The sequence below is a fragment of the Homo sapiens genome, chromosome 10 (assembly GCF_000001405.40).
Source record: "Homo sapiens chromosome 10, GRCh38.p14 Primary Assembly".
Classification (NCBI taxonomy): Eukaryota; Metazoa; Chordata; class Mammalia; order Primates; family Hominidae; genus Homo; species Homo sapiens.
In genome coordinates this window covers 34,388,233-34,414,286 of record NC_000010.11, presented here as the reverse complement: position 1 = coordinate 34,414,286, position 26,054 = coordinate 34,388,233, and the positions used below count along the sequence as shown (strand labels likewise).

The window sequence follows — 26,054 nt, the reverse complement described above, 5'->3', positions numbered from 1 at the left end:
TTAAATATGATTTGTACTTTGTACCTTGATGATATTTGTTTCTCCCCCCTCCCTTTTTTTTTTTAAGAGCGAGGGTCTTGCTCTGTCACCCAGGCTGGAGTCGCTCTGTCACCCAAGCTGGAGTGCAGCGGCATGAATATAGCTCACTGCAGTGTTGACCTCTGGGGCTCAAGTGATCCTCCCACCTCAGCCTCCTGAGTCGCTGAGACTATAGGCACGTGTTACCACTCCCAGCCAGTTTTTGTGTGTGTGTTTCTTTGTTGTAAAGACAAGGTCTCACTGTGTTGCCCGGGCTAGATGGGATTTCTTTTACTGTCAGAAGAAATGAGATCGTTAACTATTAATCTCTTTGACCTTGTCAATTATTTAACTCAACTACTTTGACATTTGCAATGTTATTACTAGTGTCACAAGTTTTCTCATGGTTTAATGATTCTTTTAGGGTAGAATTTTACTAATATCTGACTTGCTACTCTAAAGAACGTTTATAGTCATCAACTTGTTCCCCCTTTCCCTTGCAATTCCAATTTTTTAAAAAATCCTCATATATAGGGGTGATTTTCAGAATGATAGAGAACAGAGCCAAAATGATTTGGCCACGTAAGGAGTGGGTTTCCTACTTAATGTCCAAGGGACAGACCTAAGCCTGCGAAACTCAGCGTGGTGATAGAGACCTGTGAGGCAGGTAACTCGGGACCCTTAGAGATAAAGAAGAATCTGGATAAAAGGGCTATGAGACTTATTTTAGAAATTGCCTAATGACAGATTCAGGGTTTTGAATAGGAAATAGTATCTGGTAGTCAAAAGGTTTCTCAAATAAGTGGAAAAAAAAAAAAAAAGGTAGAGCTGGCCCTTGAAATGCTAATCTGAATAACAAAAGACCGAGCTGACTTTCCAGGAAAAGTGTGAAAGGCTTCTGAACCCACTTTCCTTGTCTTTGTCTTTGTGTGACTGTACTGCCCATTGTTCCTACACACAATTAAACACATCCATGCTCTGGAGTCAGGTATTAATGCATAGGTGTTATGGTTTTTAAAAATATACCTACCGTCCTATTTTTTAAAATTGACTTTAGTTTCTTATCAGTTACAAAGTCTTATATATATGTGTGTGTGTGTGTGTGTGTGTGTGTGTGTGTGTGTATATATATCTGAAGTACTGCCTAATGTTTTTTCAAGAGAGAAAATTTCTGTTAGTAGTAACCCACTTCACCCTAGTCTATTATTTGGAGAACAAATAAGCAGTCATCTTGATCCTGTTTTATCTTAACATTTTAAGAGTAAACGTTTCAAGAGTAAAACAGTTCTGATCCCCCAGTGTGACCTCAACAAATATTTCAAATCTTTTATTTTTGTAAATGAAAGTAATGTCTTCTGTATTTTCTATTTCTTATTTGGCCTATGTATCATTTGTTTAATCATTTTTCTAAAAATTGTAATGTCTCTTTCTCTGAAGGCATCTCTTTCTGGTAAATATTGATATGAAAATGTTTCATATAAAAGGAGCTGAAGTTCTTTTAGTCCATTTGCAAATCATGAATCCCGGATTTAATTATATCGCAAGGGAAGAACCTGAGGAAATCAAAAGTACTAACATAATTGGGCCAAACTGTGTAATCAAAAGCAAATGATATGGTTATTAAATCTAATGAAACGATTTCCCAGCATTTAATTCATTTCTCGGATTCAAGATATTTTAGTAATAAATACATCTGTTGAAATGGACATTCTGTGTTGTCACCACTTTTAAACAGTTCTTTTCTCAAGACCATTTCTGGTAAGAAATATTTCTAAAGGTTACACCTTAATGCAGATAGTGGATGTCTGCTAGGGCTGGGAGAAAAGGAAGGTGGAATGGGAGGTAAAGTGTGGGTCCTTATTAAAGCGGAAGGAGAGGAATGAAGAGAGTACATCGCTTTTTAAAAAATGTTATTCTCTTGTATCAGCATCTTCATTTTACATAAAATGAAAACATGCCATTGCTTGGTAAAATATATATGATATCTACGGGATTAATGGCTAGTTTGGCTGGGGCTGGGGTTCATGCCTGTATTCCTAGCACTTTGAGAGGCCAAGGTGGGAAGATCGCTTGAGGCCAGGAGTTAGAGACCAAAATGGGCAGCATACTGAGACCCAGTCTGTACAAATATTTAAAAAATTGGCCAGGTGCGATGATGCACACCTTTAGTCCTAGCCACTCAGGAGGCTGAGGCAGGAGGATTGCTTGAGCCCAGGAGTTTGAGGCTGCAGTAAGCTGTGATTATACCACTGTACTCCAGCCTAGGTGACAGAATGAAACCCTGTCTCTTAAAAAAGGAGGAAATACACACACACACACACACACACACACACACACACACACACACACGACTAGCTTATAAAGATTTTGTTAAAATACATAGAAAAAAAACTCCTGATAAACTTGCAAAGAGTATATGTAATCATTCCACAAATATGATTGTATTAGGGTTTTTCAGAGAAACAGAACTGGTAGAATGGAGATTCTGTCTATCTATCTATCTATCTATCTATCTATCTATCTATCTATCTATCTAGATATGTATGTCTTTAGATATATACACACATATAACATTTACTATAAGGAATTGGCTCATGTGATTATGAAGTCTGAAAAGTCCCAAGATCTGCAGTCACCAAGCAGGACCCCCAGGAGAACCAATGGTGTAAGGATCAGCCCAAATGCCTGCAGCTCTAGTCCCCCAGAAGATCTGATACTTCAGTCCAAAGGCAAGAAAAGACCAGTATCTCAGCTCAGCAGTCAGACAGGACTCCTCTTCCTCAGCCTTTTTGTTCTATTCAGGTCTCCAAATGATTGGATGATGCTCACCCACATTAGGGAGGACACTGGGCTTTTCTCAATTTCCTGATTTAAATGTTAATCTCTTTCAAAAACACCCTGGCAGACACACCCAGAATAATGTTGGGCCAAATGTCTGGATGTCATGGGACCCCGTCAAGTTGACATATATACTTCACTTTCACTATGATATCTTTAATCTCACTTGCAATTTTAAATTCCAGCTAGAATGGCAGCAAGACTTTTTGCTGATAGATTAAGGGGAATAAGGGGTATGTGTGTCTTTTTGTCTGTCTCCCTATCTCCCTCCTCCCCCATCTCTGTCTGTTAGAGCAGCTGTCTAAGAACTGAGAAGGATCTAAGATTTTATCCTACTTGCAAGCTAACAAGTTAGCCTGCCTCAGTTTCATGGTTGCTGACAGAAGACCTGAGGCTCCTAGGTCAGAGATGAGAAATTGTATTACTCTTAGCACAACATGCAACATAAGCATCAGCATATTTGGTTCAGTTCTCCTTACTCCCTAGACCTATGGAAGTGATGCCCTTGGGCCCAGATGGATGCCTGCATGCTCTATGGGTAATGTTACAGGACAGGACTCTGAGCTGATGAATCTTTTATAATGGCAGTAAGCAAGACTCACTCCCCTTGGCCCTGGAGGGAGACACTGTCTCTGTCTCCCACAGCTTATCTCTGTAGAGGTATCTTTGAAAAGCAAGTCCAGAACAGAAGCAATCAGTGCCTCTGTTTATAAGACATGCAGATTTGCAAGAGACAAATGGAGAATTGTGTCCCAACACAGAAAATAAAAGTTGTGAAATGAACAGTTTAATAAGAGGCTGGTAATGATATCAATTGGCTCGGTCATTTTAGAAAGTAGTTTGATACTGGCTACCTTAAAATGATCATGCCATTTGAAACATTATGTTATAGACTTCCTCCAAAGAAGTGAATCCTAAATATTGAAATGTTTTTATTTAGAAATCTGTCAGTTACTGGAGTTGAAGTGTTCTTTGATGAGTGAATTGTGAAATGATGATATGTTTACCCGATAGAATATTGAATCATTAAAAATTGTTTCTTTAATGATTGCAATAAAATGATACATTAAATATTTATATTTTATTATTACTATGTAAGAAAAGAAAAACCTATATGATCTAAAAAAAAAACTGAAAGTAAACACCAAAGGTAAGAGGAAAAGACAGAAATCATCTCACATCAGTACAACAGTGTCCTGGAGAGCCTGGTGTTCTTTAATCACTCTAACTGAACTTTTGTGCCATAGAAGATGAAGGACACTTATTTTTTAAAACAAATATGTTACCAAATTCCCATTTTCTTTTTAAAATTTATCTAGAGGGTGGTGTTGAGCACCTAGTTAGCCCTTAATAGTTACAAGACAGTTTTCTGAGTACTTCAATTAGCTCATTTGATTTTTGTGGAAACTCTGAGATAGATACTATTATTTCCCACAGTTTATAAATGAGTAAACTGAGGCACAGAGAAGTTAAGTAACTTGTCAAAATGATTCTGCATGCAAAATCCGTGTTTTTTATTACTGTGCTCAGCTGCCATATCAAATATAACATGTTTAATACTTTAAATTATTGTATTTGTTTAATATCTTAATTTTTGTTTCACATTTGTATCATATACTGGGAATTAAGGACAATGCAACAAATACATAGCTAATGAGTTTTATTTTCAAAAGAAAAATAAGTGTTACTCTGGTAAGCAAGCCACTTCTGAAAAGAGATTGATTAGTCTGAATAAAATCGTGTCAACTAGAGGGTGGCCACTTGGTCACTAGTGTGTGGTGGGAGAACCCTAAGCAGTGCAGACGCCCTTCGTGCAAAACAAGCGGTGCCAGTGTTCCTGGCATGGTGGTATCTGCTTGAGTGGTCATCTGGGATAAATATGTATAGGAATGCGGCAGATGATGGCAGGTAAGGTGCTGGGACTAGTTATTAGATTCAGTGATTTTTAGTAAGCATCAATATGTAAATCTTCCTGTGTGAATCATTGATGACAGGCAAAATGGAAGAAGAATGTGAAGACAAATTGCAGTGTACTTTTGGATGCTGGACTAAATATCTTCCAAGAAGATTCCTCCATGCTCTGGAATCCTAATAATCAATGAGAAGACTTACATATTGGAACTGAATTTTAAGATTCCATTATGCATGGAACTGGTGCAGAGATACATACTTTTTGTTGTTCTCTGTGGTTAGATAGCTTTCATAAATCAGCACCATCTGTTCTTTTGCCTTTGGTTGTATGGAGTCATGTTGTATATGTATCAAGACGGGAGGCATTTCATTTCTCTGGGAAATGGAAATTTCATGGACTGTGTTAAATACTACATTTGATCAGTACTAGCTTGAGATAAGAATAGTAGGAATCTGGTTGAGGGGATGGCGCTTATATACAGTGATTACATCACAGGCGCTGAATAATTCTTCATAGAATCCTAAATAATTTGATGTTGAGCTTTGTTCAGTAGAGCATAGTTTATATTATAAGGAACTGGACTTTGTCTAAAACTGTAACAGCTGTTAATTTCCCTCTACAAGGGAATATTTTTAATTTTAAAATATCTTATTTTTGCTATATATTATTATATTATTATATCTTATCTAATATTGTCTTTTCTAAAAAGTATTTGCATTTTTTTCATGAATGTTTTTATTCTGGCAGAATATAATGATCATGAATTAAAATTGTATTACACATTTCCTGATTTTATTTCTTTGGAAGGTTGCTATAGATTTATCATTTTGTATTGTGAAGCCCCTCTCTCCTACAGATGTTTTCAATTGTTTTCCATATATGATGGGAAATTACTTTTTCCTGGTGTTTCGGCCAGTTAATCAAGTAGTTGGGACATTAACACGAATGCCTTCTGCAATCCTATTTGTGATACCTAGGAGACTTGGAAACAGATTCCCTTTGGAATTATTTTTCATCAAATGTAATCCAAAGAAAAAGTGCTTTAATTCACTCTGTCAACATCCTAATAAATATTTTCTCTAGGATACCATAGCTCACTAATAGTTAACATGTCTCTCATTAAGTTAGGAAAATCTTGGAGGGATTCTAAAAAGTATGAAAAAGAACATTTAGTTGAGTGTTTTTTTAGCAATATATTTGAACTCATTAAAATATTTTATTTACTGTTATGAATAATTTTTTTTAAAAACACTTGACAGAAAATATTGTAAATTGTACCATGAGAATTTTCATTTTTTTTTTGTGCTTTCTAAACACAAAAATCAAAGATAGATATTTTGGAAATTTAAGTAGAGAAGTATAACTTTAAGTTTTTATAAAACATTTTAAAAATTATAAATATAGGCTTTTCTTTCAAGTGATAAATATCCAAAATATTTACTTCTTGGACCTCAGAATTTGAATGTAGATATACAGATGACTGGTTTCTAGATTAAGTTTTATAGTGTTCCTCTGAATTAGACAGTATGGTTTATATTTCTTGTTTTGTAAACATTTGTGTTCCTGTTTTCTGTGGTGAGAGATGGAGGCAGGATTCTAGTCTCAAGTGTTCTAGTTACAAGTCCTGTACTTTTTTTGTGGTAGGATCACTTAAGTTTTTGGATTTTTTTTTTCTTTTTTTTTTAGGCATAAGGACTCACTCTGTTGCCCAGGCTGGAATGCAGTGGTATGAACATAACTCACTGCAGCCTTGAACTCCCTGGGCTCAAGTGATCCCCCTGTCTCAGTCTCCCAAGTAGCTGAGACTACAGGCGCACGCCACCATGCCTGGCTCTTTTCCAATTTCTGCATGAGAAGTTAAACTTTAGTTATGTTTTGGCCCCCCTTTTCTGGAATCCTAATAAAGGTAGTATGTCGACTGCCTTTTTAGGCAAAAGTAACCACTGATTGGTAAATCGTATTGAGACTTGAAAAACTATAAATATCTGAGGAGCAGCAGCTTACGACTATGGCATTGTTCCAAGAGACACTGGCTTCTCTGGGGCATGAGGCTTTTCAGCCATGGTAGCTCTTGCAACTTCCTGATGTGAGTCAACACGCCTGCGCTGTCTGCTAGAGACCCCAAGAGAATGGCTCCTGCACAGCTGTGAGGACTGCTGGGTGCACACTCCTCTGGAAAACAAGGCATGATACAGCCTTGCTGGCAAGTGGGGTCTCCTGCCTTACACCCTGCACTGTCAATCCAATGCCAGGCAGTCTGTGGGGGCCTTGACAGTCTGCATGTTAGTTAGACCGGAGAAGCCCCTCCACCCCCTTGGCAGGCATTTCAGAATAAAAATAAAGACATAATGCTAAAAGACTTATCATAAAAATGAACAGCCTCTCTGTGCCACTGTTCCCGTCTTTCTCCCTAAATGTCTGCTCTGATATTTACTTCCATGTTTCTAAATAATATATTTATGTTGCTCTTTCCTGATTACCAGTTACTGACATCTGTTGACTTGCCATATGGAAGATAAGAGTTGTTCCTTTTATACTGCTTCTGGTTTCTTGTTCCCATCCTTTCAATGCTGTTACATCCAAAGTCTAATTTCAGTCAATAGCCAGTGTCACAGCACATGGCAATGTGACAATTGCTCACTGCATAACCAAATGGATACTCTGAATATATTTCCTCTTCTACAGATTTTTTTTCTCCTGGGGCAATTTTTTTTTTTTCATGTTGCTTTGTTTTCTCTGTATATATTTTTGATTTTCCCCTTGCATTCTGTGTCAGGTCTGTCAAGATGCCTTTTATTTTTCAAATATTCAAAAGTATCAGACCTGAGCCCAGGGAGGAGGTGCAAACTTGTAGTTGCAGCTATTTGGGAGGCCTAGGCTGGAGTATTGTTTGAGCCTAGGAGTCTGAGGTCAGAACTGGGCAACATAGCAAGACCCCGTGTCAAAAAAAGAGAAAAACTAAAGGGGAATGAAAGAACTTTTAGAACGATATCAGACCAATTATTAGTTTCTTTTTTTCTCATGGAGATGTACTTACTAGACCTCTCCATCCTCCTGCTCTTATCTGAACTGGTTTCTGCTTCCTTAAACTGCCATTTCTCCCGTGTTCTAGGACTTCCCTTGGGTTCTGACTGATTTCTTACTGTGTTTTCTGGATTTTGCTGGAGCACTTCCAAAAAGAGCTTTATATAAGAAAGTGTTCATGTGAAGGAGATAAAGATCTCTTTGCAAGTCTCAAAATTTCTTTTATCTTTCATGCTTGATCTTTTTGAGCATGTAGTTTTACACTGAATTGTTTTTTCAGTGTAGAAGATATGACTTTTAGTAGAATTTAATATCGCTATTCAGAAGGCATTGTTATCATAGATCATTTGTTAATAATATTCCTAGTTTTAGTCTGCTAGCAATCATCCACATCATTTGTCAATCCTTTGATTAAACTCTGCAGTTTGGAGATAACTCCTCATTGTTCTCTTGGCATTTTGTACAGATGACTCATCTAAGAGGAGGAGGTTGTATATGTATATATACACACACAGAACAGAAGTCTTCATTGTGGACAATCTTTTCAAGGATGTTTGTAGAGCAAGATAGGTATAAGATCTCCTCTGACAGCAGCAAGCAAAGATACTCCCTGTCTGTCTAAAAGATTCAGGTTCCCTAAGCCTAGGGTTCTTCTGTGTGTGCCAGTGTCCCTGGATCCTCTTCACATCACCTTGTGAGAATCTTAGCTGAGGAACCACTACATAAAAGGAAGATACTCTGGCTAGCGGTGTGGCTATGAGTTGTGAATAGTTCTTTGTCTGTGACCCAGGAATCTTCTGCCTTCTGCCAGCATTGATGAAGGTGTAGCTTTCAGGTATTGTAAAAATCCTAGACCCCTCCTACTTTTTTTACATCTACTTTCTCTCTGAAAATGTCTTCAACCACCACCCCACAAAGTTTTCTTCTTCTTGCCATGTACTTGATTGTATATAGCATTTATTTATCTTTTTTTTGGTTTCTTTACTCATCCTAAAGACATTCTACATTGAAAATATTTTGTATATAGCAAAGCACAGTAAATATCAGGTGTCAGCAAGTTTCTAAATTATAAATAATATGTTTTTTATTTGATCGAGTGGGTAATATGTTTCATATTAAATTGTTTTGCAAGGCACAGTGTATGAATAGATGAATACATGTATATACTCTTAAAATGTCGTATATTTGTACATAATTGCCCTAAAAGATTTATCGAGGTTTGTTTTCTGTATTATGTGTTATCTATTTCTGTCTTCAATAATGTTTATAAAATAACCATTTGTTGGGTAAGTACTATGTGTCAGGCACCATGTAATGCTTGTGATATGGAGGATTTTCGTACTGATTCTTTCAGTACTAAGAGGAAGAGTTTTTAAAGTGTGTGTGTGTGTGTGTGTGTGTGTGTGTGTGTGTGTTTGTGTTTGTGATGGGGTCTCACTCTGTCACCCAGGCTGGAGTGCAGTGGCATGCATGGTCATAGCTTACTGCAGCCTTGAACTCCTGGGCTCAAGCTTCTTGCTTCAGCCTTCCCAGTAGTTGGGACTACAGGCACGCACTATCTCACCTGGTTTTTTGTAGAGACTGAGTCTTGCTACGTTGCCCAGGCTGGTCTTGAACTCCTGGTGTTAAGCCATTCTCTGCCTCAGCCTTCTAAAGTGCTGTGGTTACAGGTGTGAGCCACTAAGCCCAGCCAAGGAAGATGTTTTTATTGTTCACGTTTTATAGAAGAAGGGATAGAAACATGGAAAGGTACATAACTTGCATAAGGTTATAAAATTGGCAAATGATAGAATTGCTATTCACGCCCAGGTCTGTTTAAATCTTGAACCCAAGCTCTTAATGTCTGTACTCTGCTATGAAATGGAGAGTAGGGAAAGGAAAAAGAAAAAAAAAACAAATGGCTGTATTGTCTCATATCTGAAAGTTCTTTGGCACAGTTTAGTTTAAATTGATACTATATAGTTCTATTTTTTTCTTACTTTAAGAAAAAAATAGAGGCGGGATCTCACCATGTTGCCCACACTGGTCTTGAAATCCTGGGTTCAAGTGGTCCTCCCACCTCAGCCTCTGAAAATGCTGGGATTACAGGCGTAAGCCACCTCACCCGGCCAGTACTGTATAGTTCTTAAATATTGATTTGACATACATAATAACAGCTTTGTTTACTGTAGTTATAATGGAATTCAGTGTATAGTTCTTGCTAAAAGTAACTACATTCAGTCACAGCTTGAAAGAAAAAGTACCAGACAACAGAATAAAACCATACAGGAGCTGATAATTTACACATCCAAATATTGGGAAAATCTAAGTTGAGGTTCCACAGCAACTGCAGCTCAGCCTCAGGGCAGTGAATGTTGCCATCCAAACTGGACACTGTATGTAGCTTCATGAAATAATATTCTCCATGCTCTTTGGTGCCTGATAATGGCCACTGTGGGAACAATGTGTGAATTATCAGTGACTGTTTTATCACTGTAGTTTGGGGCATTTCATTTATGTGGCTGTTTCACAGTGCAACATAGGTGTTTCAAGTGGTGATACATCTTGGTGGCATTTCAGTAGTCCTTAAATTATTAATGAATCCTGAAAAAAAGATCTGTAATGTGTAAGATTATTTTTGTGTCCTACATCTGGTTTATAAACAAATCACATTTGCTCTCCTTCCTGCACCCACTCCCATTGGAAAAGCATGATTTTGGGAGTTCGTGTTTACATTCCAAGTGCAGTTCTCAGGCACGTTCAAGATGTTGGTTAACCTTTGAAATGTATTATGTGCTGGTGCTTAAAGGAGATAGATGACTAAGAAGTACATATTAGAGCCTCTCAAGACACAGCATCATCAATCAAATAGCCTGGCTTCATGCAGAGCTCCACCATCCACAAAGCACAGAGCACAGCTACGACTCACAGAAAAGTTTGGTGCCCTTAGTTTCTACTTCTCATAGATTCGCAAAGGAAATGTCAGTTGGGCCTTACTGCCTGCTTTGCCGTCTCTTACTATCTCTTCAATGATTTAATATATTGTTTGACATTGTATCTTGAACCTATAACTCTTGCTTATCTGTTGTTCCTATTGATGGCATACACGTTTCTACTGTGAGTCTCTGGAATAACATGATTGAAAATATAAAATTTTTCTCCAGTGTTGGACTTCCTGTCCTAATATAGATGGCTTGGTAAATTCCCAATGTGTGCACCTATGAATTATGTTGAAAAAAGTTCACAATAAAATCACCATTGTCAAATTTATGTAATAGAAAAGATCAACCTAACAAATTATATGTATACATAAATTATACATATAAACCTCTAAGAAACAGATTAAATACATTTTACTTAGTTGCATTTGGGGAACATATTACCACAGAGATTCCTAGGCATGATTTTACTTTAATTAGCAAAACATTTACAGAGCTTCTAGTAGGTGCCAAAGACTATGCCTCCATCATTGTGTTTGGAGAATCTGAGGATCTCTTAACTGTTCTAATCTGGCTAATAAGTCCATTGATCTCAGTCAGGTATCTTTATCGTTATTCAAATGATTTTGAAAAGCCAACTTTTAACTATTAATAATAGTGAACTCTTTAATGAAAAGACAGTGGCCGAGATTATAAATGAAGGTAGATTCTTGGGTGGCTTTTCATTTATTTTTGTGAACTACCACGTTTATTCCACATGCACCTTTTTGAATACTGATTATCCCATTTGAACACCTATCTAATCATTGGTTTGTAAGCTGAGAATAGTATAACTTCACTAAACTGACATGTGTAAACACCAGCAAACTTATTGAATTTCTGCAACACATTGGAGCAATTTGTACAAAATATTGCCTTTGTCAAAGGAAGCATAGGAGGATGGGGGCTGAGTACTTTGTTACTTTAGCTTGTCCTTTTGTTTGGTCCTTCATGCACAGAAGTAAACAAAAGTGGTCCATTATGGCTAAGACCTTAATACCTTTACAGATACCTCTAAATAATCAGTCGATTGGCTTAGGGTAACTTTATGTGAAATTTTACGGGATGAAGCCTGTAAAATCTGGAACTATACCACTGCCTGTTCCTTTTGACAAGCTGTGTTAGCAGGAATCAAGAACTGAGAAACATGACTTTGAAGCTTTTGGTAATGGTTATGGTTTATAATCGTTGTAACTGTTTTGAGTAGGAAGCTGTTTTCAGACATGCATTTCCAATGTCATGTATATTTGTTTATCAATACATTGTAACAATGGAGTAATATGTAATTACTTCCTAAAATATACATGAAAAGAAATGAAAAATGACCAGATAAGAAAATTAGCATAAAGATAAGTTTTTTCTTTGTTTTTTTGTTTTCTTTCCTTATCACAGTAGTATATCTTATTCACCTTCTGGGATACACTATCTCATGAGACTCTTGTTTTCAATTTTAGCTTTTTACAACACACACTGATCCTGTCATTAAAGGTCATCCTTCTTAGAGGAAACAGTTACCAAGATCATAATGCCTATTAGACTTCCATTTTATCCAGTTTCCTTTCACATTGTAGCAAGAAACCTAACACAGAGTGTACTTTTCTTTGTGTTGGCTGCCTCTAGGATGAGGATGGGACAGAAGAGGATAACAGTCGTGTTGAACCTGTTGGACATGCTGACACGGGTTTGGAGCATATACCCAACTTTTCTCTGGAGTAAGTTACTGATGGTTTCAACTAAGTTTGCAGTATACATGTAGCATCATTAATTGCAGCAAGTATTCTGAAAGCATATGGCATGAGGAATGTTTGTGCTTAGTTAAAAACATGCCGTGCATTGATTTGTTTTTCTAAAGAACATCTTTCATCTCTTGAGTTAATTATGTAATGTAAGCAGTATAGCATGGAAGTTCATGTGTACCAGTCCTGAGTTTCATGCCCTGGCAAATACTATTGAATTATAATATAAAATAGTATTTGATTGAAGATTTTTGTCATGTTAACAACACTGTAAACACCGTAACTCTTTTCAGATTGCTTTGTGTGTCAATATTTTGATCATGTGTTTGTTCTTCACTTTGCTAAATTAAAAAAATTTGCAGACATACTTGAAAAACTAGTTAGATCATGTTAGCATTAATTATTATAGTGCATGTAAATATATGTATTTATTGTTGTTTGAAGAAATAGAATCTTTCAAGATATTTAATGAAAAAGGGAGGTCCTAGGTTAGGGACCTTGAAAATGATTTTAAGTGTAAAAGGACAAAGAAAAATTTCCTGTTTGTTCCACAGTGTTCTGATTATTTTAAATATTGACATGTGTAAATGGTAGGCATTCTCAGGACTTCTTTCCTTGGTAGCTTAGAGCAGGGAGGGCAGTCATTCTGGATTTTTTTCTTTGACTTTGGGCAAAAGTTGGGGATATAGACATTGACATTTATGTACTTAATTCTGTCTTTTCTTGGTCTTCCAAGAGAAGTGAGATTAAGCAGGCACTAGAGTCAGATGCTGTTTGAATGTATGGCAGCCAGCACGCTGAGTATTTACATTTAGTAAAGTACTTGCCATGCCATAGTTCTGTTTAGACTGTGGGATAAAATCAGTTTATTGAAGTTATGCTATTCTTAGCTTACAAACCAATGATTAGATAGGTGTTCAAATGGGATAATCAGTATCCAAAATAGAATTTTATGAAATTTGGTAAAAAAAAAAAAGTAATAAAAAATCCATTTAACCATTTGGCAGTATGGCAGAATTTTTATGTTGTCTTAATTAGTGCATGTGATTAAATCTGTGCACATATTTTCAATTTTGATTTGCTTGATATTCCTGTCTTTATGCAGGACATTCATAGTACATAGGATAACTTCAGGTTTTTATATTAGAAACATAATTGAAAAATTGGCATTTTCCATCACATAAAATTATATTGTGATCTTTGTGAAATTCATTGGTAATAATTGATTGTTTTCCAGCTGGCTTAAAATAGATGTTTAATTGAAGTACTGTTTCCAAATATTGGTTGTTAGGTAAATACTGCTTAGACCTCTGATGTTATATGTATATATGAAAAAATCTACAAAGAAAGAAAAATCTCATTTAAATAGTTTAGAAAATTACATTGTCTATACAAATTTTCATTAAACTCAGGCTTTATTTTATTAATAGTAAAGATTCATAGACTTGACAAATCCATACATTATGTAACGTTATGTTCCTTATGCAGAATAGTTTTGTAATAGAAGTAACTTCATGTTATGTCATATAATATAAATAGCTTCATAGCTGTAGTCCCAGCTACTCAGAATACTGGGGCGAAAAGATTGCTTGAGCACAAGAGTTCTAGGCCAGCCTGAGCAACACAGCAAGACTCCCTTTCTAAAAAGAAAATTAATTTCGAGCAATTTTATGAAAATTATTTGATTTGCAGTAGATGCCTGTTGGCTTTGAGAAAGGAGTTTTGTAAGCTGCACTTGTAGCACTCTTATAGCGGTTTAGGAAATAGTGACTTTGAATTGTCATGAAGTAGTGAGCAGTAAGGACAATGGTGATCTCCCTTGGACTGTCACTTACAGGAGTGAAAACTTTGGTCTCATTGGATTATTGGAAGGATTAATGATGTGACATATAAAAGAGCACTTTGTAAATTAGAAAGTGTTCTGTAGCTGCAACATCTTTATTCAGTTAATCTTTAGAGTCCTTGGTAGCTGCAACATCTTTGTTCAGTTAATCTTTAGAGTCCTTGACGTGAGTGTTGGGATGGAAGAGTTTCAGTGTAAGTCTAAAGATTTTACTTGAAAGACATAAACTTGTATTACACAGAAGAATAGGGTCGGTCCAAGAGAAATGTTCTGTGTCATTTTAATGTAGTTATCTCTGATGATTGCTCTCCCTCCATGCCATCAGACTAGTGTTCAGGTATGTAGTGTTTAATGTTGCCTTCATCACCATGCTTATATTCCAGAATATGTATATATATGCCTATGCACTTGGTGGGATTTTTGTTCTGTTCTCTTTTGTTGTTTATTGTGTGTCTGTGTTGTTGCAGTTTTTTGTTTTGTTTTGTTTTGGTTTTGGTTTGTTTACAGTACACGTTCATGCTCCCTCATTCATCATTGTCTCACAGTGATATGGTAAAGCTCGTAGAAGTCCCCAACGATGGAGGGCCTCTGGGAATCCACGTAGTGCCTTTCAGTGCTCGAGGCGGCAGGTAACGTATCTTGGAGGTTTTTAATTGAATCATAATGTAGAGTGTTTTATCTTCATTTATGCTCAGATAGAGAGTGGTGTTGACTTAGCATATGCTTAATAGGAAACATTCTCATTTGGAGGCAACTGCTCCTTCATTCCTATATATATGTCATAATCACAGAAAGCACTTAGCCTGATGAAGAGAGGTTTTGCAGGAACGTGAAGAAACTGCATTTGAATTATCCTAATAAATTTATTGTTCATCACACTCAAGCAAACATTTTACTTTGCTGTAAATTGATGATGGACTTTCAAGTCAGAACTCCAGATGAATTTGCAACGTTAAGGAGAGCTTAAAAGCACTTTTTTTGGGAAAGCTTAATGCAATAAAAATTATCTAGATGACTTAAATTTGATTTAAGCTTTAAATTTGTGTTTAGTTCTTCAATTTTATGAGTTTTTTTATTGTTAAAAACCTTTAATATGAAATTTTAAAAAATTAGGCAAGCCATAGATTTCTGAACCTTGAGTCTAAAAATCATGTACTGTTTGTTAATCTCAACTTCATTACTTTACAGAACATGCATCCTTAAAAACTTCAAATGTTATGTCAGTTTCCTTGATTCTGTTCCTTTTTATGTGTGAAAGGACTGTTGTGATATTTTTGGTTTTAATGTATTCAAATAGTATGAATTGATTTTCCAACAAAGGCTTGGCAGACCTCTGTCACAGACAAGTGAGGTGCACCGCATCCTTTCCCATGAGTCTGAACTTGTGCATGTTTAACTTGTTTAATTTAATTGCATCTTCTCTTACTTGCTCTCTAATGACCTATTTTGGCTTTTTAATTTTTAACTTATTTCTTTTATTGCTATCACCTTATTTTTTTTCTTTTTATTTTAACTTTCTTTACATGGTGCGAAAAAGTGGGGAAGTTGGAGGGTAGACTTATAGCAGTGACTGAGACCGTAGAACATAGTTTAAACTGTTGTCAAGTAATTACAGGCATCTAGGGTGTTGTAGAAGATAGATGTGTGGGATTAAACTATGCATTTTATTTTTTTAAATGAGTATTTGAACAATGGTAGTACTTTCTTGTTACTTGTAAGTAACTGTGGTGAGTTCAGATTTCATCTCTCATGGTTCATGCAATGTTCTAAAGCTGAAACTTGACTTAGAACTCTGCTGGAGTATGAATGAGGCTTGAATGGTAGTGTTACATAACAAGGTATAACATTCACCTTGAATTTTCAAGTGGTGTTATATTCATAGAGTTGTGGCTGCTTTTACTTTTTAATTCTCTTTAAAATTCTTTTTTTAACTTTAGAGAAGCATTAAAATTTCTTCAAATAACTTATAGTTAAACAATATTATTTTCAACATGGCCTTGCCTTTATTTCGTGTAAGAAATTGAGTTCTAAATTACCTCAAAAGTTAAATTTTGTTTTCATTTCTTTCCGGAGTAGGAAAAAAAAGATAAGGTAAAATGCATGGATTATAGCTTCCCGATATGCATATGTCTTAAAATGCCTGTGAAACATAACTCATCACAAATGAGATTTAATTGTGTCTGTACCAGCTTTGAGCCAGCATTTCAATTACATGTTACTATATTTTCTGTCGTTTATTGTGTATTTTCTACCTCACTGTGAAAGGATATTAGGGTAAAGTGAACAGATGAAAAGCCTAAAGCAAATGGAGAGTAAGATGGAAAAATAAACTTACTATCTAGATTAAGTCAAAGGAAGGCATTTCACAAAATCCACCACAGTTTCTGGTTACCATGGCATTTAGTTTTGATACACCAAACAGATTCAAGAAAACAAGTATGTCTTTGCAGAACTAGAAGTTCTTTTATAGCTGAGTCATTTTTAAGCCCTATTAGTTTGGCACTTAATGAAGAAAGTCGTGCACAGAGATTTTCAAAGAGACAAAGAGATTTAAGAAAAACAGATTCTTTATAACCTCTTCTTAGGCATCACCAATTTTCATATGGAAGCAGAACAGAAATAGTTTGTGATTCCCCAATACCTGTGTTGCATGGTTAAGCTTCTTTGTGGAATTGATAGTCATGGTTCCTCACAGATGGTTAACAATGGGAGAGAAAAAGTAGGTGGTCTGTTCAGATTGACAGATACAAATCTCCAAGAACCCAGAGATCCCCACCTTCCTCATTCTCAGAAATGCTCGGAAATGGATTCCTGTTACTTCATAAGAAACCTTTCCAAGCATTTCTGTTGTGACAATCCCTGTGTTAGGTGCTAGGAAACAAAGATGAACGGAATATGTTCTTCCTCCAGAGATTTGCAGTCTAGACGGAGTGATAGCCAAGAAATCACACAATTATAATTATGTGATAAATGTTGATATAGTTATATAATAGGTGCTCTGTGAGCTGATAGGGGAAGAATAGTCTGAATTAGGCAACTGAAAATGGCTTGTTGCGGAAGATGATTTTAAATGTGATGATAGCTTGTAAAGGTAGCTGTGTCAACTTCATGGTGGCTTGTGCAAGAGTAAATTAAGCAATGTAGTATAGCAGGAAGGAAGAAATTAAGTGAAGTTAAGAAATTGCACATATATCTAGTAGGACTACAATAATATATATTCATGATATGTAAGTAGAAATTTCCAAGATAACTTCCCTTATATAAAACTCCAGTCATTCTTGGGCCTTCTCAATTTTGGAGGATAACTAATTGAATAACAGTTACTGAATACTTACTTTTATAAAAGTGACAAATACATGTCAATATTGCTTTCTCATTTAGATTTTCAAAGTCAGAGCATCTAACGAATAATGCAGAATACCAATTGTATATTTTGAAGAGAAGGAACACAACCCAGACCACCTCAAATATCAAATGTCATTAAGGAAAATAGTAATGTAAGCTTGTGAAGTTAACGTTAGAGAGTTTTTTACAGCCATGTAGATCTTATTGTGACCTGATGTGTGATGAAGTTTTTTTTGTTGTTGTTGGTTTTTTTGTGTTTGTTTTTTGGTTTTTTTTGAGATGGAGTCTCACTCTGTCACACAGGCTGGAGATCCTGGCTCACTGCAACCTCCGCTTCCCGGGTTCAAGCAATTCTCCTGCATCAGCCTTCCTAGAAGCTGGGACTACAGGCATATGCTACCATGCCTGGCTAGTTTTTGAATTTTTAGCAGAGACAGGGTTTCACCACGTTGGCCAGGTTGATCTGGAACACTTGATCTCAAGTGATCCGCCGGCCTCAGCCTCCCAAAGTGCTGGGATTACAGGTGTGAGCCACCATGGCTGGCTTAAGTTTTTTAAAATAAGAATCTTGCACTGCTTACTTTCAAAGCTATTTTTTAGACTAGGTTGAATGTTTTTCAATCAGGGGCATTAATGACAATTAGCTCGTCCTCCAACCCCTGTCTTAGTTGACTACCTGCTGATATGTAGAAATAGAGACAAATAGGTAGAGAGACAATATTATCTTCCCCATGATGATGTTTTTCTTTTTTTTTTTTTTTTTTTTTTTTGAGACGGAGTCTCGCTCTGTCGCCCAGGTTGGACTGCGGACTGCAGTGGCGCAATCTCGGCTCACTGCAAGCTCCGCTTCCCGGGTTCACGCCATTCTCCTGCCTCAGCCTCCCGAGTAGCTGGGACTACAGGCGCCCGCCACCGCGCCCGGCTAATTTTTTGTATTTTTAGTAGAGACGGGGTTTCACCTTGTTAGCCAGGATGGTCTCGATCTCCTGACCTCATGATCCACCCGCCTCGGCCTCCCAAAGTGCTGGGATTACAGGCGTGAGCCACCGCGCCCGGCCGATGATGTTTTTCTTGAGTTATTTCCTTGTATATGTTATTCAAAAATAAAGTTAACTGATCCTCATCTATATTCGTTCACGGTTTCATTACTTTGGTGATTTCTTTTTTTAAATTATTTTCTTAGTAGAAAAACATTTACCTAAAACGTTTCATTACCTTGGAATCAATTTTTATTTCATCCATATCATTTCATTTCCTCCTGATTTAAATGAGAACCATCGGCTGGGCGCAGTGGCTCACGCCTGTAATCCTAGCACTTTGGGAGGTCTAGGCAGGTGGAGCACTTCAGGTCAAGAGTTCAAGACCAGCCTGGCCAACATGATGAAACCCTGTCTCTATGAAAAATACAAAAATTAGCTGGGCATTGTGGCAGGTGCCTGTAATCCCAGCTACATGGGAGGCGGAGGCACAAGAATTGCTTGAACCCAGGAGATAGAGTTTGCAGTGAGCCAAGATCACGCCACTGCACTCCAGCCTAGGTGACAGAGTGAGACTCTGTCTCAAAAACAAATAGGAAAGATAATCTCTTTATTTAAACCACAAATGCCACTATTTTCAGGAAGGTTATGCCAAATAATTGTGATTACCTTTGGCAGAAGAACCTTGCTTTTTTTTTTTTCTTTTTTAATATTTCTAGAACCTGGTTGTAGGTATTGGTCTACAGGACCATAGGTACTGCTTAGTGAAGCGTAATCAGCACAGGAGCAAATGAACCCATGACTATCCATATTAGATATGGTGTTACTATATTAACAAAGAAACGGTAATGATACATCCTGGCCTGGATGGTGGTTAAGAAGTATTTCTGACACTTTCTCATGAAATAGATATATGATTATGATATAATGTTAAGTATATAAAAAGCAACATATAAAATTGTGTGCTAAAATAGGGACTGGACCTATGAAATGATAAGATTTTGTGTTTGAGGCTGGACATGATGGCTCATTCATGTAATCCCAGTACTTTTGGAGGCTGAAGTGGAAGGATCACTTGAAGCCAGGAGTTCAAGTCCAGTCTTGGCAACATGGCAAAACCTTGTCTCTGCAAAAAATACAAAAGTTAGCCGAGTGTGCTGGCATACACCTATGGTCCCAGCCACTTGGGAGGCTGAGGTGGGAGGATCACTTGAATCTGGGAGTGTGGGGCTGCAGTGAGCCATGATCATGCCACTGTACTCCAGCTTGGCATGGCAGAGTGAGAACCTGTCTTAAACAAAAACAAAATAAGGCCGGGCATGGTGGCTCATGCCTGTAATCCCAGACCTTTGGGAGGCCAAGGTGGGCAGATCACCTGAGGTCAGGAGTGCGAGACCAGCGTGGCCAACATGGTGAAACCCTATGTATACTAAAAATACAAACATTAGCCAGGTGTGGTGATGGGTACCTGTAGTCCCACCTACTCTGGAGGCTGAGGCATAGGCCAGGCGCGGTGGCTCACACCTTAATCCTAGCACTTTGGGAGGCTGAGGCGGGCGGATCATGAAGTCAAGAGATCGAGTCCATCCTGGCCAACATGGTGAAGCCCCATCTCTACTAAAAATACAAAAATTAGCTGGGCGTGGTGATGTGCGCCTGTAATCCCAGCCACTCAGAAGGCTGAGGCAGGAGAATTGCTTGAACCCAGGAGGTGGAGGTTGCAGTGAGCTGAGATCGCGCCACTGCACTCTAGCCCAGGTGACAGAGCAAGACTCTGTCTCAAAAAAAAAAAAAAAAAAATTACTACTATTCTTACTTGGGCTTCATAATCTAACTTAAAGTAGATACTCTAAATCTTTTCCCCTATGGAAAACAATTATGGCTAAAACATTTTAAATTAATTAATTAAGTAGAAACTGGGTCTTGCTTTGTTGCCTAGGCTGGTCTCAAACTCTTGGCCTCAAGTGATCCTGCTACCCTGGCCTCCCATAGTGCTGGGATTACAGGTGTGAGCGGCTGTACCTGGCCTAAAGTTTTCTTCTCTGGATCTTTTTTTTTTTTCCTTTTGAGATAGCTTCTCACTCTGTTGCCCGGGCTGGAGAGTAGTGGCTCACTGCAGCTTCAACCTGCCGGGCTTAGGTGATTTTTCCACCTCAGCCTCCCAAGCAGCTGGGACTACAGGCAAGTGCCTCCATGCCCGGCTAATTTTTTATATTTTTTGTGGACATGAGGTTTCCCAATGTTGCCCAGTCTCGTCTCAAACTCTTGGGCTCAAGTGATCTGCCAGCTTTGTCCTCCCAAAGTGCATGGATTACGGGCATGAGCCACCTTGCCTGGCCTGGATCTTTTCTATAATGGACATTTCTCACTTATTTACATCTACCTTTATTCTTAAGTCTGTGGCACTTAAATTTGTTTCACATTACTTTTCCTTGTGAAAATAGTAATTGTATGTTGGTGTTTATATACACTTTTTTTTTTTTTTTAAGATCTAGTATCTACTAGTTAGCATTTTTGGTGCCTTTGATATCTCAGATCAAAGATTCACAAACTTTCTGTAAAGGGTCAGATAATCAGTATTTTAGGCATCATGGCCCAGAAAATCTGCCATTGTAGCATGAAAGCAACCATTGACAAGATATAAACAAAGCTTCATTTACAAAAACATATTGCTGGCTGAATTGACTCATAGGCTGCAGTTGTCAGCCCTTGCCCTAGGGAACCAAACAAATAAAAATGGCTGCCATGATGGTTTTACATTCTAGTATTTTTCATGTCTAAAACTTCTTCACCTCTGTTTTCTATTCATATCTTTGGGGGACAAGAGTGTACAGGATTTTGATTTCCACTTACTGTTTGATAAGAAAGCCTCTTTTGTTGTAACTACATATTAATTCCCAGCAGTGCATGTCCTTGATTCTCAGGAAGAAGGGAAGTTGAAAAAAACCATATAAGCCCATTTACCATACTCTCATTAGTAGTATGTACTCACAGAACAATCCTTCTTAACATCTACTTGTCAATCATAAGACTTAAGGAAAAATCTAAAGTTTCACAGTTAGAAAATCAGGCCCTGTGAAGATGGTGGTGAGGGAAATGAAGGGACTCTGGGTGTGGGTCTGGCTTTCTGCTACTGACTCATGTTGGCAGATATCTTATTTATTAATTTATTCTCAACTTACTTTTTACAGATTTGCCATCATTTGATTTGTCTGATTAACTTTGATTTTTATCCCAAATAATTTTTTTCATCTGTTTATCTTCAATACAATATTCAGAATATCAGGTGAAGTGTCAACATCCTTTGGAAAAAGCTTCTTCAATTTCTGTGTTAAAGTTTATTTTTATGACTTTTCCCCTCTTTATTTATTTGCTTAGTTACATTATTGTCCATAAATTCCATCATGAAGCTGAAAAATGAAATCACATCTCTAAGAGAATATTTTTTATTTTTAAAATTGATTTATTCTTTTTTTTACTTTCTTTCTTTCTTTATATTTTTTGAGACAGGGTCTCACTCTGTCACCCAGGCTGGAGTACGGTGGCAGGATCTCCAGGCTCAAGTGATCCTCCCACCTCAGCCTCCCTAGTAGCTGCGACCACAGGCACACACCACTATGCCTGGCTAATTTTTTGTATTTTTGGTAAAGGTGGGGTCTCCCCATGTTGCCTAGGCTGATCTGGAACTCCTGAGCTCAAGTGATCCACCCACCTCGGCCTCCCGAAGTGCTGGGATTACAGGTGTGAGCCATCACTTCTGGCCACTAGGAGAATATTTTTAATGTTTTGCGTTTTTGAGTTGAAATAAAAGTGACCCTGTTGGAAAATATGTATTTCATAAGTATTATTATTTGCATTCTATTTAAACCTGAATATAGATTAATTAGAAGGTGGTTAAAATAATCTATATGCAGATTGTATTTTGTAATTAATCTATATTCAGAAAATCACTGAAATATAAAAGTTTGTTTTTTACATCCTGCATTCATGTCTTGAATAATTTCCCCCTCAAATATAAACTGATGTTTCTCTGTCTACAAGACTAGTAGTCAAACATCTTTGGATGGTCTTGAGACATACCATACTCATCCATTTAATTCAGCAGAATCTGAGCTTCACTCTCCCCTCAACTAAGATTTACATGATTATAATTATATTGTTTGTCATTTTTATCCCTTCCTGTCTGAACAAAAACTGTATGGAATCAACACCACCGAGCTCTGTGGGAAAAAAGAAAAACCTTCTCCCTTCGCTCTGCTGGAAGCTGGAGGGCGCTAGGCCCCTGTGCAGTAGTGCATAGAATTCTAGCTTTTTTCCTCCTTTCTCTGTATATTGGGCTCAGAGAGTACACTGTGTCTCTATGTGAATATGGACAGTTAGCATTTACCAACATGTATCTGTCTACTTTCTCTTGTTTAAAAGAAGAAAAAAAAAACTAAAAAAAAAATGAGGTTATAGAAGGTCAGCAAAGGGTGGGTTTGAGATGTTTGGGTGGGTTAAGTGGGCATTTTGACAACATGGCTTCTCCTTTGGCATGTTTAATTGTGATATTTGACAGACATCCTTGCAGTTTAAGATGACACTTTTAAAATAAATTCTGTCCTAATGATGACTTGAGCCCTGCCACTCAATGGGGGAGTCAGCAGAACCTGTAGGATCTTATTTGGAATTGACATTCTCTATTGTAATTTTGTTCCTGTATATTTTTAAATTTTCTTTTTGTTTCGCTGGAAAGGAAAGATGATGCTCAGTTTTAAACGTTAAAAGTGTACAAGTTGCTTTGTTACAATAAAACTAAATGTGTACACACACAAAAAAAACTATATTGTTTGTTATACCCTTTTGTTCATCTAAGATATTCTTTATCATTTTTTGCTCTATTATGTATTGAAAACGCAATTTATTTTCCCCAGATTTGGAGTTGGGAATTTTGTATTACCTCTCTGTGTCAGTCAGTGACTGACTTGACCTTATGTTGTCCTCGTTTTATTGGCACGGGGATTGTCAGGACTGGGGAAGGATACCTTGCTCAGTATTTTTTACGTAGTGTGGCCTTGGGCAAGTTAGCCTCACTTAGCCCTACTCCTTACATATGAAGGATAGGAATCATGACTTTTGTATGGTTTAAATAAGAAAATATATGTAAATCATTTAGCAAGGTCCTTGGCAGTGGCAGCTAATAAGAATGATCAAATCATGAGAAGAGATTTTATACTCAATTTATCTTTTGTTATGTGCCTTGAAATTCCCTCCAGTGGTGCTTGGTATTCTGGTGCTTGGTATTCTAGGTAGGTAGTGATTAGTCTACCCAATCAGAGAAAGTGATCATTTTCCTCTTATATCATGAATCTGGGAGAAAATTTACTATTATGTCGTAAAATTGAGAATCCCAATACACATTTGTTTAGTTAATTGGGTACATATGCTAATGAAGAATTACAGTCAATTTGAGCTTCACAAACTAGCTGAGAATAAATATGCTCTTGAACTTTTGAGTACTCAATTTTAATTTAATAACTTTTGAAAAAAACGCAATTTAACTTTATTTGCTGAATCAATAGTCTTTTGTCTGAAAGTTTTCAATTGTGCATTCTCAGCCGCAGACTCATTTGTTATAATAAAGAACTATAACATACGCATTGGTTTTAGAGAGACAAGTTGCAGTTTACACTTACATGAATCATGTCTCTTTATATATAGCAATATGACATCTGTGATTTCTGCTGTAATCTAAAGGAATTTTCCATTTTTATTTACCTTTTTGGCCTGATTTATCTCATTCATTGAAGTTTTTCTAAAAAAAAAATTAAGATTTAAAGTTTTAACTTGGCATTCCTTTAAACTTTCTCCTTTTGGTGTCCATGCTTTCAGTGGCAGTACTTTCTGGGCTCATGTAGGTAGTTGCTGGCCCCCCATGGGCTGTACTCAGGGAGCTGAGCGGTTCTTGTTGATGAGACCCTATTCTGCCCACTCATATTCTGCCTTCCCTACCGTTGTGATGTTTATACTGTGTCAACCTTTATTAAGATGAATTATAATCATTTCCATACAGCTGGGTGGCAGTTGTGGTAGTTTACATTATCAACGCAAAACTCAGACTTACTCAGCCAATTTGGATGTCAATAAAACATTTGTTACTTATTTTCAGTTTTATCATTGGTTGTAATTTATACTTAGAATTGAAAATGTTAACATGTGTGACTGCGTTTGTTTTAATTAAGTGTATAATTAGGCTAATGAACCTTGTAAAAATGTAGTGGTGCAATCCTTAATATAATCTAAGTAGTTAAATTCTAATTATGCATCCAAAATCATGTACAAAGAAGCAGCATTTCAATGGCTCGCTTTGTGCTACTGTACCCTAGCTTGTCTTTTTTTTTTTTTTTTTTTTTTTTTTAAGAAACATTGTTCAAAAACGAAGTCTTGAAAGAAATATGCATGTAACATACTTTTGTATTAGGAAAATTATTCAGAAGTGATATTTGTATGCAGCGGATCTAGTGTTTTCTTCTTTTCAAATTTTGAAGAAAATATAGGAGACTAGAAGAGGAATAGATTTGGGGATGTTTCAGCTCCATCAGGAAAAATCCATTTGCTTGAAAAGCATAAAGCCAAGTAGGGTTTATCTTAGATTCATAAGGAAGGTAGAGGAGGTTCTGTTTCACATAACCCTAAACCCTATAATCATTTCTTCTTAAATCTGCGCCACCCCACTAATAAATGCCCAACTCTTTTCTCTTATGTCTTTTGTCCTAGCATAACAAATCTGGGGTTGTTCTGCTCTTGGAACCATTCCCCAAACAGAGCTTACTCCAATGCCTCCTTTCCTGACACCTACCTCTTTTATTTTTTGCAAAGTGGTTTCTTCTTAGGATGGAACATGGTTGACCCAATAAGGAATTCTGGTATTAGCTGCCAAGAAGGAACACTGTTCTCTCTACCAGCACACTGACGTGCCAAAATGTTTAGAACTTCATTTGCTTTGATTACTTTCTCTAATAAAACTGTTGCAGCAGCCATACCATAGGCAGTTGGTTCTTTATTACTTTAGAACAAATTCTGATTTCTAGTTGAGTTTGCAAAATATATCCCTAAAATTTGTTTTTAATTATATTGTTTGATACAGCTTTAAGTTGCAAATGAGGGCTATGGAAATGTATCTGCTCGCGAGCACACATTTTTCAGGAAAGTGTCTCTTCTTACTACTTTTGATTTCCTTCGGAGGTTCTTTTCATTCTCAGTCTAGCTGTTATCAGTTGGATTTTCTTGTGACTTTTTTTTCTTTTGATAGTTCATTCCCATTCCTTTGCAATCATTTTCACCTAGTGGAGTAAATGAGATAATTTTGCAGATTGTACCACTTTCCTTTTAAATTAATCCATTCTTTTTGAGAGAATGATTCTA

At 36.9% G+C, this 26,054-nt stretch overlaps 1 protein-coding gene across 11 annotated transcripts in view; it reads left to right on the top strand.

The window, feature by feature from the left end:
- The window catches only part of PARD3 (par-3 family cell polarity regulator), a 705,736-nt gene that overhangs the window by 401,010 nt on the left and 278,672 nt on the right, over positions 1–26,054 (top strand). For all 11 annotated transcript variants that reach the window (NM_001184790.2, NM_001184791.2, NM_001184789.2 and 8 more), the window contains 2 exons: positions 12,370–12,461; positions 14,874–14,957. In NM_001184790.2, coding sequence (NP_001171719.1) covers positions 12,370–12,461; positions 14,874–14,957 — 176 coding nt within the window. The remainder of the gene's footprint in view (positions 1–12,369; positions 12,462–14,873; positions 14,958–26,054) is intronic.